The sequence below is a fragment of the Homo sapiens genome, chromosome 2, assembly GCF_000001405.40.
Source record: "Homo sapiens chromosome 2, GRCh38.p14 Primary Assembly".
In the NCBI taxonomy this organism is placed as follows: Eukaryota; Metazoa; Chordata; class Mammalia; order Primates; family Hominidae; genus Homo; species Homo sapiens.
Genome location: NC_000002.12, coordinates 33261673 through 33284277, shown reverse-complemented (window position 1 = coordinate 33284277; position 22605 = coordinate 33261673). Strand labels below are relative to the sequence as shown.

The 22605-nt window shown below is 40.2% G+C and overlaps 1 protein-coding gene across 65 annotated transcripts in view; it reads right to left on the bottom strand.

Annotated features, from left to right (window-relative positions):
• LTBP1 (latent transforming growth factor beta binding protein 1) overlaps window positions 1-22605 on the bottom strand; it is a 452557-nt gene that overhangs the window by 115232 nt on the left and 314720 nt on the right. For 19 of the 65 annotated variants that reach the window (NM_206943.4, XM_017004109.2, XM_047444368.1 and 16 more), the window contains 6 exons: window positions 21457-21556; window positions 20886-20984; window positions 10497-10622; window positions 9188-9313; window positions 8355-8477; window positions 4120-4239 (listed from right to left, as the gene is read on the bottom strand). In NM_206943.4, coding sequence (NP_996826.3) covers window positions 4120-4239; window positions 8355-8477; window positions 9188-9313; window positions 10497-10622; window positions 20886-20984; window positions 21457-21556 — 694 coding nt within the window. Of the gene's footprint in view, window positions 1-4119; window positions 4240-8354; window positions 8478-9187; window positions 9314-10496; window positions 10623-20885; window positions 20985-21453; window positions 21557-22605 lie in introns of all 65 variants that reach the window. The other 46 variants (XM_011532855.3, XM_047444360.1, XM_047444369.1 and 43 more) reach the window with 9 other exon arrangements.

Genomic DNA, 22605 nt, shown 5'->3' with positions numbered 1-22605 from the left:
CTAGGGAAAAAATGTAGTCCCTCAGAAAACACCTGCTAACATTTTGCCTATTTCTGCCCAAAACAATTTCTGCTCTAATTTATAAATCAAGGAGAAGCATCAATCAGTAAGATCCAGCTTACATGTCATGAATACAAAGAGGCCATTAACGGTTTCACCAAGTTCATCATTTAGTCTGTGAAAGAAGCAGAAAGTGTAACTGGTATAAAATCCCTGCAGAATATAGGGGTTGAATAGCAATGCTTAATGAAGTCATTCAATAGAAAGAGAGTCAAATCAACGTGAAGATAGACCAGTTTAGAAAAAAAACTATAAGCATAATGTGAAATTTAAGAAATGTTATATAAAACATTGTACATGTTTGATTATAACAATGTAAAAACATGTACTCAGTGAGAGGAGAGTTAGAAAAAAAGACACTAACATTTATGGAACACGGCAGCCCTGTGAGATAGACATTATCATCTCTACAGATGGCAACTAACAAATGACAAATGTAGGATTTTTCACCAAAATGGTGTGATTGCAGGAAACTTTTTAATGACCGGGCACGGTGGCTCACGCCTGTAATCCCAGCACTTTGGGAGGCCGAGGCGGGTGGATCACGAGGTCAGGAGATCCAGACCATCCTGGCTAACATGGTGAAACCCCGTCTCTACTAAAAATACAAAAAATTAGCCAGGCGTGGTGGCGGGCGCCTGTAGTCCCAGTTACTCAGGAGGCTGAGGTAGGAGAATGGCGTGAATCCGGGAGGTGGAGGTTGCAGTGAGCTGAGATGGCGCCACTCCACTTCAGCCTGGGCGAAAGAGCGAGACTCCGTCTCAAAAAAAAAAAAAAAAAAAAAAAAAAAGTCTTTAATGTTATCACGGAGAATTTTCATTAACAATTGGGGCAAAAAATTCATCAATATATCCTATATTATCAGAACTAAAAGGATATAATCACAGGTAACAGTTAGAGACAAAACAAATGACTAGCCAGGAAGAGCATGTTAATAACTTAGCATTTGACTATCCTGACCACCAAGGGATCTCTAAAGACTCTGAATCTTTTACTTTACTTTTCTTCACGTCATGCATCACATCTGACATCCTATATATTGTACTTGCTTATGTGTTTATTTGTAAGCACGACGTAAGCACTAGAGTATAACTACAATGAAGGGAGAAAAACTTTATTTTATTCACTCTCTCTTTTTTTTTTTTTTTTTTTTTTTGAGATGGAGTCTTGCTCTGTCGCCAGGCTGGAGTGCAGTGGCGCAATCTCGGCTCACTGCAACCTCCGCCTCCCAGGTTCAAGCGATTCTCCTGCCTCAGCCTACTGGGTGGCTGGGATTATAGGCGCGTGCCACCACACCCAGCTAATTTTTGTATTTTTAGTAGAGACAGGGTTTCACCATGTTGGCCAGGATGGTCTCGATCTCTTGACCTCATGATCCACCCGTCTTGGCCTCCCAAAGTGCTGGGATTACAGGCGTGAGCCACCGTGCCTGGCCTATTTTAGTCACTCTCAATCCCCAGTGTTCTGGAAAAATACCTGGCACAAGGTAGACACTCAGTATTTGTTAAATGAATGAATATATATCCAGTTATGTTAGTGATGAGCTCAACTCAAAACTAGGCTTAAGACAAGACTGCACCTTCTGAAAGGTATTTTAGAGTACCAGAAGTACAAAGCTAGGGCTGGGCAGTCATTAACATGGTCAGAGTTTAGCAGAAAATTCCAACCCACCCATTGGTTCAATGTAAGTAGAAAGGCATGCTGCAATATCTGCTTTTTGTCACAGTCAACTTCTCGACATTTGAAAGCTCTACTACTATAAAAAATTAAGATGGAAAATCTATTTCAGTATAACCTGCAAAGGCCCTCATGAGAAATTTAGAAGAGCTGCAAGTCCAATATGAACAATGGATGGAACTGCAATTAAATCTTGGGGGAGTGGCTTCATTTGTAGATTATGTAGAGCCTAAAATTTTACCCAAAGCAGAAAGATAAAGGACACTGCCTCCATTTAACAATAGGAAATACATGACCTCAGCAACGCAAAAACAAAACAAGGGGCTAAATGTGGGACTTTGGCTGAATTGAGAAATGCAGTGATCTAATATTTCTGCTTATGATTCTACTCATCTGGTTGACAAAGTAAAATTAGTTTTAAATGAGGTGCTGTGCTTCTATCACTAAAGTTTATATATATATATATATATATATATATGCACATATAGGTATAAGAATTCATTTAGTATTATTTATATTGAAGAACAATCACTTGCCAATTTGATCAGTCACATTCCACTAATAAATTCATGAATCAGGGCTGCGTTTACACTACTATTATGAATTGTAGTTATTTAAGGTAGAGTTCCGGCTCTGCTCCTGGATTATTTATCAGGATGTGAAAATGAGAATACGCATGGAACCTTGATAGGCAAGTATGAAATTTATGCCAAATGGGAAAACTGAAACCATATATATTAATACTTTTTGGTCAGCACCAGTTACAAAAACAATTGCTTATCAAATAAAAAACTAATGAATAAAAATCTTTTCTTCAAAGACTACATCTCACAACTCCATCAGCAGAGACTCTTGGGTTGGGGATGGGCCTAGGGGCTCAGGACACGGAGCTCTCCGTACCAGCTACAGAGTCTGAGCTGATGCTGTTTGGTGATGAGACTAAAGCTTTAAAACTGAGAGTACTTCTGCAACCCCCATTAAAACACCTAAATGTCTTCCCAGGGCTATGAGAATGAAGACCGTCAGTTTTAACAGGACTAAGAGGGCTTTAAATTTTTCAGTGGTCTGTCCTCTCATCTTGCAGCAAATCTTCCTGTGTTCTCTGGCCTTCAGCTACACTGGCCTTCTGCTCTCTTCTTCTTCCACGAGCCTCTTGCATATGCTGTTTACTGTGCCTGAAATGTTCTCCCTCCCACCCCCTCACCAGTTGAACCTCAACTCAAGAATTTTCCTAAGGGCAGCTCGTTCTACCATATGCTCTCACAGCATCATAGAACCCTCCTTTCTAGTGCTTGTCTCAAATCTGTGAGTTTGCATTTATCTGTGAGATGTTTGAGTGCATGTCAGTCTCCCCCACCAGACAGTAAGTACCAAAAGGAAGGGGTCATATCAGTTTTTCCTCTCAATATATCCCAGAACTTAGTACAACTCTGGGGATATACAGTAAGTTTTGCCTTTTGTTTCATATTTTAGAGACAGGGTCTCACTGTCACTCGGGCTGGAGAGCAGTGGCACAATCATAGCTCACTGAAACCTTGAACTCCTGGACTCAAGCGATCCTCCCACCTCAGCCTTCAAGTAGCTGAGATTACAGGCACACACCCCACGAAGCCCAGGTAAGTTTTTTAATGTTTTGTAGAGATGAGGTCTTGCTATGCTGCCCAGGCTGGTGTCAAACTCCTGGCCTCAAGTGATCCTCGTGCCTCGGCCTTCCAAAGTTCTGGGATTACAGGCATGAGCCACCATGCATAGCCTATAGTAAGTTCTTAAGCATTTGAGGGAGAAAGGAAAGAAGGAATGAATGAATGAAAAGTTTAACTCACATATTCAGAGTTTTGGTATGGAGTGGAAAAGAGTTCAAGTTTTAGGGAAAAAGATTACATGGTAGACACAAATGAAAACCATTAAGGGGCAGAGCTAACTACAGCACGGGTAATTAGAATCAAAGCAAATACATTACTCTGTCTTCCTCAGTGCCTAAAGCACTACCTTTGATACTTCTGTTGAAAATTTGTGTGTGTGTGTTACCTAATTCTACTTGTCTGTGGTAGATGCTTCTTCTCTCTTTTTAAGTGTTTTGCTCTCCATCTCTCTTCCTTCCTGTAGACCTTACTATCTTATTTGGTTTTGGATATTTATCTCATTAGGAATATCAGTTTGTTTCAATCCTAATTATTTTCCCCATCGAGAATCTTACATCCTTTATGCTAAGTCATTTTCTTATTTTCTCAATGGTTAAAAGTTACTGGGAACTTTTCTTAGAATGATGTAAGATTTCATTTTTTCATTTTGAAAGAGGGCTCCATTGGCATTACACCACTCTATCAGAAAATGGGCCATGCAGAAGAAACAAATCTTTGATAAGTACACTATAGTACCTACCAAGGCACTGTCCATTCCAGCCTCGGAATCCTTCTGTGCAGGGAACGCACTGGTAAGATCCAGGAGAATTCACACACTGCTCATCTGGACAAGTGCTTGGATTCAAACATTCATCAATATCTGAAAAATCAAAAACCTAGGTCGTGAACATTTTATCAGAATACCAAAGCAAAATCTTACTTTGTGATGAAGGCAGCGGGGGAAAGCATGTTATATCTACATTTCAGTGGGAAAAACAATAATTGGGTAAGTGAGACATTGGGTCTATACTTAAATACATGGCAATAATGCATGGTCAAGCATACCTGGATTAAAATATTTGCATACATTCCAAGGAAGAACCTGGCCCCAATTCTTCAACTAGCAGGACCTGGCCTCTCCACTCTGGGAGTTGGCAGCTCCTCTAGGGCCAATTTCTGGACATGAAACCTTTCAAGTAATAGCACAGCTTTCCAGAAAGAAATACAAAGAATGGGGGTGAGTGTGAGGAAGCTATGTATCCACCCAGCTAGAGGTTCTCTCTGCAAACATTGGATGCTCTAGGGAAATTCTCACTTTGGCTTCATGGGCCCAAGAATATCCTAGGTTGGAATAATTTAAAACCTTTCATATGACAGGAATTCCTTGGAGGTGGAAAAAAAAAAAAACATGAGGAGAGAGTGAACTCATCACATACTTCCAAGCCTTTCCAGAAAACACGGTGATATGACCATATGGTAATATTTTCTGGTAAAAATACACCTTACTTTTCATATTCATAGCTAACTGAAGTCATTAATCATCATTCTTTCCAATTTGGGGAGAAAAAAATCTCCTAAAATATGGTTAAGTCTGTGAGGAGATAACTACGACAGCTTGAGGCATTTTTAAAAATTGTCAAACAATAAAATGAGGAAAAAGATATAAGAGAGAGTTCAACAGTTTAAAATAAGTGTTAACACCATGGCTTCTAGCTGCATTTGAAATAAGTGTTTTTTCTGAGGTGGATCTTGAATTTATATGAGTGGATTTAATGTTTAAGTATCCCAATACACAATGTATATATGACCTTTAATCGTACTTAAAATATAAACGGATTTTCAGGACATAAACTAGAGAAACAAAAAAAGAAAGAAATATATAATGGGTCCACTAAATATCCATGGGTATGTGATGTCTACATTCTAGTAAATACTTAAAAATTATCTCCCACTGCATACCATTAGACATGTGAAAAGATACTTAAAGTGAAAAAGTTAAAGATGATATTAACAAAATAAGCACCAGGTCAGTGTTGTAATTTTTTTTCTATCAGTAAAAATTCTTGCCAATGGCCAATGATACATAGTGGTTTTTTTAGGTCAGATGTTCTGGGACTTCTTGTTCTACAAAAAGATGGTGCTTGCCAGTTTCATTTTCCAAATAGCATTACATTCTCCTCTGGATGGGATATTTCAAAAAAATAGAACTACAACTGCTAAATCAGAGAATGCCATCGAGACAGGCTAGCCCAATAAATAGGGTGCAATGTTGAGCAATACAAGATAATGTCCCTGAATTTCTACCTGCTCTCACCTCGGCTTTTCCCCTCTTCTATAAATTAGGAACTACCTGCCTTATAATACCTTAACAGAATAAAGTAAGGATGCATGAGATAATGTCTGTAAACTACAATAGACTCCTTGGAGACTGGTGCTATTTGAAAGCAACTTCGTTAGTGACAGCTGAGAAAATCTTCTGTGTGCCAGAAGCCCGGGGACGTTTGGTTCTAGTCCATGATGAAATTTGAAAACAGCCGCGTTTCTTGGCTCCTTCTTCTTTTCAAGACTTTTCATGGGGATAGAATTATATATTATTTACTGAGGGAACGCTAGTCATCTTTCTCCCAAATAATTTTCATATATTGAATATCACCGAATATTCTCCTACAAGCTTCCAATTTAAGTACATAATTTTCCAATTTATTTTCTATTCCTTTCCATCCTATTACTTAAGTATCTTATCTTTCCATTCTTGACCCGTGTGTAGAACTTAAGAATCAGTATTTGGGCCGGGTGCAGTAGCTCACACCTGTAATCCCAGCACTTTGGGAGGCTGAGGCTGGCAGATCACGAGGTCAGGAGATCGAGACCATCCTGGCTAACACGGTGACACCCTGTCTCTACTAAAAATAGAAAAAAAAATTAGCCGGGCATGGTGGCGGTCACCTGTAGTCCCAGCTACTCAGGAGGCTGAGGCAGGAGAATGATGTGAACCCGGGAGGCGGAGCTTGCAGTGAGCTGAGATCGCACCACTGCACTCCAGCCTGGGCGACAGAGCAAGACTGTCTTTAAAAAAAAAAAAAAAAAAAGAAAGAAAGAAAGAAAAAAAGAAAGAGAGAGAGAAAGAAAGAAAGAAAGAAAGAAAGAAAGAAAGAAAGGGAAAAAAAAATCAGTATTTGACTTCTTTGTTGGGGGTTGGGGGATACTGCTCTGCACATAAATGCTTGTCAAATAAACACCCCATTTTTTTAAAGCACTCCCCGCAACTACAGAGGTGCTTGAGATCTATACAAACACAAAAGGAGTCAGGGATGGGGGGAGATTTAAAGAAACTATAACTTCTTGAAAACTAACAAAGTGACAGGCATCATACAAGTTATGGCAACATGAAGTTATTTTCATGAAAACCTGGAAAGTTAACTTCATGGTTCCTATTTTACAGATGATGTACTACGTTTCAAAGGGGCAAAGTCAGTGGCTACAGGTCAGGCAGTTACTGTGGGCGTGGTGAGCTGCTCCCACGCTGCATCTCTTCAGCAGAGGAGAGTTCCCTGGAAGAGCAGCGTGGAGACACTTTACACCTGTGCTTGTTCTGTAGCCTCGTGGCCCTCGGGGAGGGTACAAAACTCCATGCTGATCAGAGATCCAGCAACATAAAACACTCCCACTTCTCTCTAGATTAGAACCCAAGGGGCAGAGGCAAGACACCAGCAGGAGGGGCAAGTGTAGGCTGCCAAAAAATGTCTAATTAGCTCTCCCTCCAGGCCTGGGTCATTAGAGCAGTGAAGAAAACCAACAGGCAGAAGCCAGGGGACAGCTGAGGGCTGGCTGTGCCAACCTAGTCCATCCTGCCCCACCTAACAGAGCCCAGATCTATTAGGCTCTGCTGACAGCCAGGCAGGGAACCCCAAGGAACCAGCACCATGCTCCCGTGCCCTCACAGATCCCGTGTTCCTTCACCCTCATATTTCCATGACAGGTTTTTAGCAGAAGGTCAGTGTATTTCTTCATGAAAATAATTGCAAAAAAAGTGCCATAGTGTTTTGTTTTGTTTTGCTTTGTTTTTTGGAGACAAGGTTTTTCTCTGTCACCTGGGCTGGAATGCAGTGGCATGATCTCAGCTCACTGCAACCTCTGCCTCCCAGGTTCAAGTGATTCTTGTTTCTCAGCCTCCCAGGTAGCTGGGATTACAGGCGTGTGCCACCACATCCAGCTAATTTTTGTATTTTTAGGAGAGAGGGAGTTTCAGCATGTTGGCCAGGCTGGTCTCAAACTCCTGGCCTCAAGTGATCCACCCGCTTCAACCTCCCAAAGCACTGGGATTGCAGGCGTGAGCCACCGTGCCTGGCCTCACTACATTGGTTTCAAAAAGAACCAGAGCAACTTGGACACAAACGTGAAAAGAAATATGAAAAGGATAATAATTGTGACCATGCTATAAATACTTTTTATAACATTTTTATAATGAGAGAAAGCTCATTGCTGTGGTCAATAATGAGGAAATTTTATTAAGCACAGTTGGAATCTGACCAAAGTTTGTCAGACCATGCTTCTTGGGGAGTCTGTGAGAAAGTACCAGAACACATGTAAAAGAAAGCATTGGAGACAAAGGAATGTAAGTAGGTGAAAAGGTCAAAAACAAAAAATCAACACTGGTTACACCTGCAGCATGTTCCCAGATGAATGGTCCGGACTCTGTAATTAAGTCTGTGTTTCTACTAAATATGATGCAATTAATCATTCTATGGTGATTTCATTCCAAATACCAGAGAGGCAGATATTGAGGTGAAAAATAATGAGAGCATGAAGATGGAAAATAATCCCAAAAGAGCCAGTGAAAGGAAGAGGCAAAGAGCCTGTGAATCTAGGAAGCAGAAAGAGCTTGGATAAACTGGTGTCACGCACTGAGTGTGGGAAGGAAACAAGAACCAGGCAAGGTGCCTACCAACCCTGCACATCACCGTCATGTGTGCTGAACACTCTCAGCTGACTCACCCTCACAACGGCCTCTCTGAGTCATGCGGTACCCGCTGTCACAGTATTCACACCGGAAGGCCCCCACAGTATTGACACAGTGCCCCTCCCCACAGACGTCCGGCCTCAGGCATTCGTCAACATCTACGAAGAGCAGATAGCATTGTTGAGTTTTGTGTTCCAAATACTGTTTCAAACCTCTCCCATCTCCCAGCTTAGCTCAAATATAATAACGAAGTAACTGATTTCTTTTTTTTTTTGAGATGGAGTTTCGCTCTTGTTGCCCAGGCTGGAGTGCAATGGTGTGATCTCGGCTCACTGCAACCTCCACCTCCTGGGTTTAAGCAATTCTCCTGCCTCAGCCTCCCAAGTAGCTGGGATTACAGGCATGCACCACCATGCCTGGCTAATTCTGTATTTTTAGTAGAGACAGGGTTTCTCCAAGTTGGTCAGGCTGGTCTCAAACTCCCGACCTCAGGTGATCCGCCAGGCTCGGCCTCCCAAAGTGCTGGGATTACAGGTGTGGGCCATGGCGCCTGGCCAGTAACTGATTTCTACTTTCCCTTTGATTTGTTTGACACACATCAAAATCATCCAGTTTTGATTCATGCAGGGTGGTCCAAAAGTAACATTTAATGTATCTTGTCTATGCACATATATGACACTCTTTCTTCAAAAATGTTAGGGGAAAAAAATCCATTTTTATATCACCTGGGATCTAGCAGACTGCTGTCATGATAATTGTTTAATAAAAAATTCTGGGTTGTCTGGATAAGCACTGAACTGATGATAGTCTTAGGGGATCTAAAAACTCAGATCTAAGAATTTGTAAGCAGGAAGAATGCTGCCATTACCTATGCAGTTAGTACCCTCCTCACTGGCCATAAATCCTGCTGGGCAAATGCACAAGAAACTTCCCTCGGTGTTTTCACAGCGGCCCTGGGAGCAGAGGTGTTGGACCTGAGTACACTCATCAATATCTGTTAACAAAAATACATATAAAAATATTAGTTCTGTGTAGCAAGAACTTAGTTTCCCTGTTCTGTAAAATACCATCATACTATTCCCTGGGTACCACCCAACCTTTATAACTGAGGACAACAGCAAAAGGAGACACGATCTTTCTCCTCGCGTACTTGAAGGATTGTTCCTGGAAGAGAGAAGCAGCCTACTGTGTATCACTTCAAAGGCTAAAACTACAAAACCATGACACTGGTGTTTCAAAGAGGCAGATTTCAGGTCAACACAGAAGGATTCTCCTGATAACGAGAGACATCCAAGCAATGGAATTTGCTGTCAGTAGGGAGTCAGAAATGCCATGAAAGAGACTCTTCCTCCGTGCATGTGGATGGAGTTGGATTAGGTCATCTCTGTTGCCTTTCTAACTTAATATTCTAGGTTCTGAAAGTGACACATATAATGTATACAAATGACAAGGAAATAGCCAAATTATGGACCAGGTGGCTGTCTCCTTTCTCCCCCATACACACACACCAAACAGCAAAATTCACATATACTAAAGAAGTATTAATTAGATATGTTCCTTTGTTGCTTCCTATTGGCCTCATAATTTAGTGCTGAATTTTCTTTTTCTTAAAAAAAAAAAGAGAAATTAAATTTAGAGTCACATTAAAATGATTTATTTAACTCTACTGCATATCTTTCTGAGATACTTTTTTTTTTTCCAAAAGGAGCATATATGAGATCCCTAAATTTCTAAATTGACTGACACCTTCAGGCCAGCATATATGGATTTTCAATTTTAAAATCCCTTTAAAAAAATCAAGTCTTATGTACATAAATGAATGTAATTCTTTACTGCAGTATACACTAATGTTAATTTGTTTTTGCTAAATACATGTTTTTAGGTAGCTGTTTCTGTAATTCATATTTTGTTTACTTTACCCAAAAAGCTTTTGGAAATTATTTCACCTTTATGTAAATATATTACATTTGCGAGGTAAACAAATGTTGAACAAAGAGGTAAGAGAATTCCAGTTGTTTAGCAAACCTTTTTTTGAGCTCCCTTAGCTAAGGGATAAACTTTCAAAAAATTAAACCAGTAACACTTTCCCAAAATGGTTAAGTTGGTTTAAGAAAAAAATGTTCTTAATGTTCAAATGTTTGATATTTAATAATTTAGTCAATCAAATTGTCTCTTACCCACACATTTCCTCTGTTGTTCACTGAACCTGTAGCCCTCGTAGCATATACAGGTATATCTCACTGGTAGGTTAATGCAGTGTCCTGCTCCACAGATATCAGGGTTCACAGTACATTCATTGATTTCTTTAAAAGTAAATAAAATAATGTGAAAAAACCCACAGAAATGAACAGATTTCACTGCTACTCTCAAAGTATTACTTTGAGTTTCCTGACCAACTAGCAAATTATTGCCAGCTCTACATTTAGAAGACAAAGGTGACCTCTGACATCAAGTATAAATTCATGTGATTACTTTATAATGGATTAGTTAGTCCTATCCAAGGACATCAATAGTTCCTAGTAAAGCCATTTTTAAGATGAACTGAAGTGAGAAGAAACTCAGAAAAAGGCCATGTTGTAAGTTGTAAGAAAATCAATTATTAATAAAACAGCTTCCAAAATGGCCTATTAATGAGTTTCTATTCATTGTAGTTCATCTTAGATGATAGAGTCTGAATCACCAATAGGTAAGAGATTTCTTATCTATTGATAAGAAACACATTGTAACTTTCCATTCTTTAGCAGGCCATATTTGAGTTTCAACAAATACATCCAATCTCCTCCAAAATTTATCATTAATCCCCCCAAAGACCTCCCACTTCTAAACAAAGAAAAACTTCTTGGTGTATCTTACTCTTATTTGCCAATTTCAAAATGAACATATTTTATTTCTACTGGTAAAGTAGAATCTTTTCCCAAATCTTTTCTGCTAAATTCCTCCCTTACTCCCTTACTGAGCCCTGTGTAAGACTGGCTTCTTCTATATATCCTGTACAGATTAGCCCTGTTCAAGTCCTCAGTCTACTCACAGACATACACTACAGTGGAGGGAGGGTCTTAGGAGTCCATGGTTAGGTGGAGTCCATCAAAAAAAAACCCAAGGACTCAAAGGGGGCCTTCTGAGATTAATTACTCCTTTAAGATTTTCTGTTTCCAATGTCCTTTGTAAGAAGGTCTAATGGCCTAGTGAAGGTGGCACAGCTGGTGGTTAGAAGCACTGGCTTGAAGACAGTGCAGGCACAAATGCTGCTGCCCTTTACAGTTCTGCAGAATGGGGCAAGTGACCTCACCATTCTATGCCTCACTTTTCTACATGTGTAAAATGGAAATAATCAGAGTTCCAACTTCAAAGTATGAGAATGAAAGAGATGCTCTAAATAACGCATGTAGCCAATGCCTGGCATATTATATGTGCTCAATAAAAGTTACCATTATTGTTCATATTGAAGTCATTTAAGAATATATTTAAAAACCAACACATTTATACCAATACTACCTTGGGCTATTATCTGTCATCGTATAGTAAACAAGGCTCAAAAGAGAGGCTGGTATGAATGAGGCCAAGCGACCCTCCAAGGTAAATAGTTTGGCGCCTCTGAGCATGACAACCTAGGAGCACAGCTTTGTTAGAGAGGTCTGTGGTTTGAATGAGAAGAAAAGCAGGTGGGCTATTCTCGCTAATAACACACTGTCTATTCTGCAGTAAAAGGATGTGGAAAACAGTGCTTTAACACAGATTCACTATGGAAATGACCTAAATTGGGGTTGAGGTTGCTCTCCGAAACCAAAACCACATGCTTCATTTTTCATAAAGTATTCACTGTGCTGTGACTTTGAGACTACTCATGCAAGTCATCTGAAAAAGGAAGCATATGAACTTCAGCATTTTACACAAAGTCACCTGGATGTATGAGAAATGTATGCACACCCCATGTATTTACAAATTACTTATACCTTTTGTGAGTCTAGTTATGTTAATTCACTTTCAGGAAGATACATTTGTTTATAGTGAAAATATTATCAAATTATAGGAAAAATAATTCAAAAGGCTAAAAACATGGGTAATTAATATGACTGCCTAAACTTAAGTGACTGGCAATAATAACACAAAACAATGAATTATACATACAGCACAGCATATAATCATTAACAAGATAGGAAAATGCTTATTTGTTAAAAAAACACAGGCACAAATTATAATATAGAATATAATCTCCATTATACTACAATACACACAGAAAAGAAGGTTGGAGGGAAGTAGATCCAAGTTTTATGGTTTTTAGGATTAGCATTTTCTTCATTTTTTTTGGTACTTTTTAAAATTTTTACACTAAGCATGTCTTGGCACTTTCATAATCTGAAAAGTCTTCCTTAAAAATATAACTTGTATGTACCTAAAATCTGAAGGTAAAAGGTAATCTTCACCAGGTTATACTCATGGACTTTCAGGTAAGAATTCTCTTCTGTTTATAGGAATTTTTTAGTGAAACAGCATGAGATGCACACGACTCTATATTATACATAGAAGCTTCCTTTGCAAGTTACTGGTGTTTAGATTTCTTGGGTTTTTTCCCGGGTGGTTATTGACCTATCTTTATACTCATCTCTGACATTTTCATAAAGCAGAAAGACATGTTGACCATATTTGCAAAAAAAAAAATTAGAAGGTGAATTAATATATTCAGGGCAAGGGTTCAGAACAAATTAAGAGGCTATAAATCTGGGGTTTTCATGAAAAGCTTGATGAGTAGTCACTAACCCACTCCCACAATACCAATTTGGTGATTACCAAGTATTTGTCATTTGGCAGGGACAGCCTTAGAATGGAACTTCTTTATATGTGTGAACAAGTCTTCAAATATATGTGATGCTTAATTAAAATGTGATATATTCCTATGCCACAAATTGCCAACATAGCTAAAGTGTTTCTTCTCAAAAGTCAGCTCTGAGGTAGGAGAAATAGTGAAGAAGTATAACTCTTTAGTCTTAGGAATAAAATGAGTAATAATGGCCTTTCCCACCAATCCAATATCTTAGATAGAAGCTAGGAGGTTGGAATTTGATAAAAAATGTTTGTTGATTTTTAGTTGATTACCTCATACATAAGTATATAGAGACGTGGCTTGCAAACGCTGAACATGTCTGTCAGGATCACGTTACATGTAAGAAAATGTTAGGCTGACACCACTAGAGGGTACTAAGAGATACAGCAAAGGAAAGAGGGACACTTTCTGAAACATACTTGATTTCTACTTCTTCCCATTTTTACACAAGTGATTAATTAATGTAACTGTCATCAGTTTGACCTCAGAGATCCCTTCCATCCTTTGCCAGGCAGGATTCCATTCTTTTTTTTTTTTTTTTTTTTTTGAGACGGAGTCTTGCTCTGTCACCCAGGCTGGAGTGCAGTGGCACGATCTCGGCTCAGTGCAAGCTCTGCCTCCCGGGTTCACGCCATTCTCCTGCCTCAGCCTCCCAAGTAGCTGGGACTACAGGCACCCGCCACCACGCCCGGCTAATTTTTTTGTATTTTTAGTAGAGACGGGGTTTCATCGTGTTAACCAGGATGGTCTCCATCTCTTGACCTTGCGATCCACCCACATCAGCCTCCCCAAGTGCTGGGATTACAGGCGTGAGCCAAGGATTCCACTCTTGTAGGCAGACAGAAAACAACCATCACACCTTCAAAACACCCCTGTCTGCTTTCTATTCACTACTTATCAAAAAGTTGAACATCAGAGGCTGTGTGCAGTGGCTCACGTCTGTAATCCCAGCACTTTGGGAGGCCGAGAAGGGAGGATCACTTGAGGCGAGGTCAGGAGTTTGAGGCCAGCCAGGACATGGTGAAACCCCATCCTTACTAAAAATAGAAAAAATTAGCCAGGTGTGGTGGTGGGCACCTGTAGTCCCAGCTATTCGGGAGGCTGAGGCAGGAGAATCGCTTGAACCCTGAGTGACAGGGCGAGACTTTGCCTCAAAAAAAAAAAAAAAAAAGTTGAATATCAGGTAAAAAAATAAATTACTGGTACTTATACTTTAAAACATATAAAACATGTCTCCCTCATATCTCCCCTGTGTTTTCTCTCCTTTTCTAATAGGTTTTCATTCCTGAGCACATAGACAGTACACAAGTCCTGAGAATGTTGTCTTAAAGAACAGGAAAAGTGTTCTGCATTTTCTGTTTTTTAGGGCAAAGACAAGATGCTTTATATTTTTCCTAAGTGGTCACTCACACATCGGCATGCAAACCTTTTCCCACCGAGTAGATCAGTTCATGTAGAAGAATATGATTCTTTGAGCAAACTGTGTCAATATAAACTCTAGAAACTGGGCTCTGTCTGATACACCAGAGTCAAGCCTCACATAGACAGCACTCATTTCTTGTGTCAGGGGTATGTATGCTGGTGAATGGGAATGTCTTGTCTTTTTAGCATGCTTGGCTTTCTTGGCTTTGCAGAGAGACGATTAAGTGAGTGCTCCCCACTGGACTCTCTCACATGTCCTTCATAATGCCACCTGGTTCACAGGACAGCCCTACTCTTCCCTACTATATCTGCTCCCTGAAAACCTCATCTTCACCAGGTCAAGGACCTTATTCTATTTCTTTTGCTGGAGTCCATCTAGAATATGGAAAAAGGGCCATGACAGAAAGCCAGTGATGGAAAACCAAATACTCTATTTATACCAGCAACAAGGCCAATGGTAGATTTAACAGTGTGGTATTTTTACTCTATTTTCTAAAATTAAATGAAACAGAAAGCTTTTAGCAAAATATGAAAATGACTATACTGACTTTTAGCTTTTTTCTTCATCATGTGATTCCCTGAATGAATGAATGAATGAATGAATGAATGAATGGAGTCTGGAAATACTAAAGCATGATGATTTCACATGGAAATAAAAGAGTTCATTTTCTATCCGCATACACAGTTTATTGAGGCAGTAATGACACTGGTAATATGCTTGAGGGACAAACATTTTTGGGTCATTTCTGAGTTCTGGAAAAGATCTGATGAGCAAATAGTTTTTTTAAATGTCTGGGCCATGATAATTACAGAGGTTTCCACAAGGCAGTTAACTCAGTCAAAGAATAATTTCTGACCAGTCTGCAAGAGCCATGGAGAAAGCTTGGGAAGAGCCAGAGGAAGGCATCAAATGTTAACTCATGGAAAGGTTTACAAAAATGCCCTGGCTTCCTAACTGCCCCACAGTGAGCATAGATTGTCCCACAACAATTGAAACAGATGTTTCCACTTTGTAAATATCTGCCAGAGAAATAAAAGTTTGATTTTCCCAACCTATCCTTTAGCTATTAAGACACTATGCTAAATCAAGAATTTATATGCTGAAACATATAATTCACTTGAAAATGGTATGCCAATAATGTTGCGAGCCACCAAGTCAGCTGTTAAGAGTGGAAAACATCACACGTATTTCCTGCAGATATGTGGCTCACTTTATAATTATCACATGTCAAAGTGTGTTTAGCTAAATGTGAAAAGGCTACTTCCAATTTCACCATCGTAAAGATATAATCACTAAACAATGTGGAGCTGATGGTATTCATTTTAGACTCTTACGTATTGTTCTATCCCTGTCTTCAATCATGGGAGAAACTAACAGTAACAAATAATATTTACCTCCTCTGTGTTTTAGAGACAAAAACATTATTATGCAATATTCCTGAGAGAACTGATGAGATTGCTCCTTAAATCTGTGTTTGGCTCCCATATGAAACCGATGGGAACATACACATTTTGAGTTAAATTATATTTGATACAAAACAGTCTTCTTGTGCTAATGCAGATCACTATGTATAGTGTAGCTCTAAAGTTGCAAACCACTTCATTTCAAAGACTATCTATACTGTTCCCCCTATGGATTCTTTCAGAAATATTCTTTTACTACAGAAAGTGGAAGTACCTACAACTGTTGCATGAAAAGAAAATCTGCATCACTTGTTTCTTGGAAGGATATATTCATGCTTCAAACATGTGACAGCAGATGTCAGCCCTGTATTTCTGCCAAACTCAAATTAAGCCTCTAACAAGTTGTGTTTTAACAACTTCCTATAGCAAGGCTACTTGCATTGTTTTTTTAACCAGCTCTGCAGTTCAGTTGAAGCTGAGTAACTTCAATTTGTTACCCTTCACACAGCTACATTTAAATGTTGAAACTGCATTTACCTAACTGAACTTAACCTCTACAAAGCTAGTTTGAAAGAGGTTTGTCCATTTAAGTCAGCCATGCCCATTCAAAACTAGAGTTTATCTTCACATTGAAAAAATTGAAATGCAGTATTTTGAAAGAACTAGTAAATTACAATGTCTTACTGCATTTTTTTCTTTTTAACATTACTATAAACAATTAGAAGATCCTTGCTGTCCAAAATAGTGTATTATTTGCTTGTATACTTTGCAGCACAAAGCAGTCTCTTATCAGTGTGCTCAATAAAGTGGGTAGATACATACATGACCTCAGAATAGAGAATAACAATTTTAGCCATGGCCATTAAAAAAAATCACCATCATTTTGTCACAGGATCCTTGGGGTATCACTTTGCCAGCCAGAACCTCTGTGGCTGGTGGCATCTTTGCCCAAGTTTTGCTTGCACCCACTGAGCTTGTTCTACCCACTCAGCCCAGCAGGCTGTGCTTGGCCTGTGCTGCCAGCCCAGATCCCACACTTGCCAAGGGCAAGCCAGGTGTGGAGCAGTGAGGGGTGTGTGAGCAAGCAAGCATGGGGTCCAGCCACTACACACAGCCAGGCATCCCAGCTGCTGTAGCAGACTGGGCAGCTCCAGGTGCTGGCACAGGTGCAGGCTTCATGTGAGGCTGTGGCTGGACCAGATATACTGCCAGTAACTTCTGCTGCAGGCACCAGCATCTGGAGATGGCGGACACAGTGCTGCCCGAAAGCTCGGAGATGCCAGAAACCACACAGCACCAAAGAGGCTGTTACAGCCCTGGCTTGGGGAGCCCCTAGGTTTGGGCTCCCCAAAGGGCCACAGCTCTTCTTCCCTTCTCGGCACCCTCAACATGGTGAGTGGGGGGGTCATGTTTCAGCCCCGTTTGTGTCATAGCTCTTTCAGTACCACCATTTGGTGGGCTCTGAGTTCTTGTCCCACATCCAGGAAGAATGAGGTATACAGAAAACTGGAGGGTGAGCAAGGTGGAGAGGAGCTTCACTGAGTGACGTGACAGCTCTCAGGATACCCACAGTGGGTAGCTCCTTTCTGCGGGCACGTCATCCTGAAAAGCTGAGGAGACCCGAAGTGGGTAGCTCCTTCTCACAGCTGGTACTCCTGACATCTGTGTGAGTTTGGCTGAGTCCAGGGTTTTTATGGGCTCAGAATGGAGGAAGTGTGTGCTGATTGGTCCATGGGTGATCATGGAGGGCCTAGAAAAACACCATCTGATTGGCCAAACTGTTATCGATGAAGTCTTCACTCTGGACCGTGGACTACACCTGGAACTGGCAGCCTGGCCCCCAGGCTTCAGGCCATTCCTGGCTTGAAGGTGGGGTTTCACTGAGGACTCACCCCTTTCCACCCAGGAACCTGTCTGCCTCCCTCCATCAACATGTTGTCCACACACCCAGGCTATTCATGCTGAGGGGCACCTGCAAGCCCACACTGAGCTACCCTCAGCTTACCCTCAGCTTCCCTCCCATGCTCATTGGTGCCCAATGTCCAGAGGGGGCCAAGGCGACAGGGGACTGGCATGTCAACACTCACCCAAGCACATGCACAACTGGCTGGGTTGCAATAGCACTTGGGCTTGGCCACAACTTTGCTCCACCCTGGAGCAGGCGCTGGCAGCGGGGAGAGGCCAAGGAGTGACAGCAGGCACTTCTGAGCCTGTGGTGAAAGAGGGACTTCCCAGCCCCTTAGAGTGCAGGGATGTCTAGATCTGGAGCCGTGGCTAGGTGACTGTAGCTGCACCCTGAAGGGCGAGGCTCCTGTTCTACTGACTCACTAAGTGGCCAAAAGCTTAACATATGAGAACATTTCTATTAGAAAGGAACCATAACATGTTTCTGAGGAGGGAATATTCTAAAGGAGGCTCCAAACTCTTCCATTTAGCTCCTATAACACATTGTCAACCTCATCCTGCAGTGGTATCATAAATTCAGTTAAAGTTGATGATGATGCCCCTTAGTGACATTTTTGCTGACTCTAAAAATAACTGTTCAGTTTAGAAAATATGGAAAATAAAAAAATCTAAAATAAAACACTTAAATCTCTCAGATGCCACTAAAAAAAAACCACTGCTAATATCTAGTGTATTTTCTCCCAGCATTTTCTCAGTGTATATATGTCTTTAAAAAAACTGGTATAATACTCTATATCATTCAGTTTTTTATCCTTCATCTTAAATTTAGCAATATTGTATGACTACTTCCTGCTATATTTCAATAAAAATTCTTCAAAAATACTATATTTGGTGGCAACATAATGTTCCAATGTATAGATGTAACATAATTATCTATTTCCCTGTAGTTGAATGTACAGTTATTTCTATTTATTCTGTATTATACATTGTCTGTGATAGGTAACCACTCATATAAACTCCTACCCACAGCCTTTGGGAATATTATTTCCTTAGACAAGATGTCTTAAAATAGAATTACTGGGTCAAAAGTTCTGAATAGTTCTGAAGTTTTTTATACATATTGCCAATTTGTGCTTTATACTCTGTGAAGGTTAATTTCATGAGTCAACTGGACTGGGCTAAGGGATGTCCAGATAGCTGATCACATATTTCTGGGTGTGTCTGTGAGGGTGTTTCTGGAAGAAAAAGGCCTTTGAATTGTTAGACTGTGTAAAGAAGATCACCCTCAGCAGCGTGGGTGGGTATCCTATCTGCTGGGTGCTGGGCTCAAACACAACAAAAAGGCTGAGGAAGGCAATCTGCTCTACTTCAGCTGAGACATCCATCTTCTCCTGCCCTCAGACGCTGGTATGCCCGGTATCCAGGCCTTCAGACTCAGACTCAGACTGGAACTTATGCTATCAACTCCCCTGCTTCTCAGGCCTTTGGGTTTGCACTAGAACTATAACACCAGCCTTCCTTGGCCTGGAATTTCTCAGCCTTCAGAATGGTGTGAGCCAATCCCTCACAATAAAGCTCTTTCTACATATCTGGATATATCCTGTTGGTTCTGTCTCTCTGGAGAACCCCAACACATACTCCCTTTAGCAATGTGAGAGAGTCTCAATCTCACCCTAATAAAAAAATTTGATTGGGTTTTACATACTAATTTGATAGGAATAAGGTATTATCCTAGGTTAGTTTGCCTTTCTTTGATTACCAGGAAAGTCGAAATTTTCTGTTACATGCTTCTTGGTATTGTTTTTTCCTACAAATTATCTGATTATATTATTTTTCCATTTCTCTATTGTTAGTATTTTTCCTATTGATTTATAAGAGCTCAATACACATTAAGGATATGGACATTTAGAATTTTGCATTTGTTTCAGAATATAAAACATTTTATGCTATTTCACTCATGATTAAAATAATATGTTTATTATACAGAACTTTGAAAATAAAAATATATTAAAGAACATAATTATCCATGATCCAGTATTAACTGGTGAGAACAGAACACTGATGCATTTTCTTTCTTTTTCCGTGTTTGTAGAAATTTTAAAAGTAAAATGGTAATCATTACATCATATTCTTTTTTTTTTTTTTTTTTTGAGACAGAGTCTCGCTCTGTCCCCCAGGCTGGAGTGCAGTGGCACAATCTTAGCTCACTGCAAGCTCTGCCTCCTGAGTTCACGCCATTCTCCTGCCTCAGCCTTCTAAGTAGCTGGGACTACAGATGCCTGCCACCAGGCCCAGCTAATTTTTTTGTATTTTTAGTAGAGATGGGGTTTCACCGTGTTAGCCAGGATGGTCTCAATCTCCTGACCTAGTGATCTGCCCACCTCGACCTCCTGAAGTGCTGGGATTACAGGCATGAACCACCGCACCCAGTCCTTTTTTTTTTTTTTCTTTTTTTAGACAGAGTCTCGCTCTGTCACCAGGCTGGAGTGCAGTGGCGTGATCTTGGCTCACTGCGATCTCCGCCTCCTGGGTTCAAGCGACTCCCCTGCCTCAGCCTCCCAAGTAGCTGGGACTACAGGTGCGCACCACCACACCTGGCTAATTTTTTGTATTTTTAGTAGAGACGGGGTTTCGCCATGTTGGCCAGGATGGTCTCGATCTCTTGACCTTGTGATCTGCCTGCCTTGGCCTCCCAAAGTGCTGGGATTATAGGCATGAGCCACCGCACCCAGCCTGTATTCTGTATTTATTAACAGATTATGCCATATTTCCTCATGATATTAACTACTCTTTTCAAACATTATTTTAATACTATGTGATATTCTGTTTCATATATACTATAATTTATTTCCACATACTCCTCCTTTTTAACTGTATTTAGATGATTTCCAAATATTTGCTAGTATGGCTAACCCTGCCATGAGCAAGCTTATATAATGGATACTACATTTAAAATGAAGCTCAGCCCCACGTCTCCTCCATGTGATATATAATGTAAAAATACTGCACCAACCTGTCACTTGAGTAGGAGCAATCACTTGGCTGGCACTAGACGTAGAAGCTTCAGGAGCTACTTCAACAGGCACAGGAGGTGATGTTTTTTCAATCACTACTATATGAGGAAGCAGAGGATAAAAAGAAAATTAAAGCCCGTTATGTGCATTGAGATCCCATTTCAAAATGCAAGCATAATTTAGTCTAGCAATATATCACAGCATTTGTCAGATATAAAGAACTGTTCTATGTCCCAAGGCTCTGGGTTCAACATTTAGCAAGAATATCTGAGAGTGATGCGGAAGCCAAGAAAAATGATCGTTCATCAAATGATAACCTTCAATAATGTCTGAATAGTGTATACTACTCCTGATCACAGAAAACAGTAAAAAAAAAAAACCTATCTTTCCCACTACAATCCTTACAATGCTGTAATTATGCTAACATTATATAAGTATATTACTATACTTAACACTGAACTTCAGTTATGAAGTCTAGTAATTTACTACACAAAGTCAAAGACAAAAATTTCCCGTCTTACATTTTTATTCAGAATACTCTGACAAACAGCACAGATCAACACAGGCTACCTGGAAACTGTGGATGCAGATGAATAGTGGAAATGCCTGGAGACAGCTGGGGTTGACCAGGCTCAAGTTTGGTTTTCTCTTGATCCAATGAAGGTATTTCCTGGATGGTTGTATTTTAAAAGAGAATAAGAAAAAAAAAAGAATTGAAAGTGGAAATTATTTTTAGTTTCCCACATATTACTATTTTTATGTAATTAATTATATTCTTAGAAAGGCAAAGAAATATCATAGGACCTTACATGTATAATTGTGTGAAATTACAAAAAAAAAAAAAAAAAAAAGAACCTTTGATGTGGTGCTACTATGGAAAGCCCTAAATTTTTCCCAGTGGTGCTAATCCACGCACATATCTTCAGCCATTTCCCTGAGGCCCAAAGTCTGATCTTGTAAGTAAATGTCTTGGCCCAGGGGTCCATATTTGGTCTGCAACAGGGCAAAACTAACCCCCAACGAGGACTATTGCCTCATTCACATGTGGCTCTGCCCCACTAAGATGACCAGCCACAGTTTGCAGATTAAATAATGGATATAGCAGATGTGCCATAACAAAGAACACATGGTAAGTTAAAATATTTTAAACCAGTCAGTTACTATGGCCTTCTTTAACCTCACGTCTGATAACTTTACAACTCCAGCTCTCTGAACAGTGGTAGCCAGGCAGAGCAACAGAAATGTGCTGGCTTGGAGAAGGATTTGGGGCTTCATCACACATTTTGGTGCCCACGCTTGTCCCCTGGACCTCAAGCAAAGAAGCAGTCCATCATCCGTGGCTCAGCTTCCATTTACAACTGTGCAGGGCTCAGGCAGACTGAACAATTAGCCTAGTTAAGGATCTGTGACTTCACTCACACCAGATGTGACCAGGGAGCTCATATCACTACATTCAAGTACTCATCGAGTTACTTGGTTCTGTCCTCTTCCAGAAAGCTTACTCCTCTGGCCTCTGTTAACCTCTTATCCTCTTCTCCTGGCTTCAAGTATCACCTATTTTCTGCTTTTTCTAAGATAGTCTGCCTGGATATCTCATCATAAATCCAACTTTGCAAGCACAAATGCTTACAGGGTAAGTCCATTTAGATATCCCACAGATACCTCCAGCCTACCCTTCCAAAACCATCCAGGCTCTCATTCCAACTTCATTTCTACCAG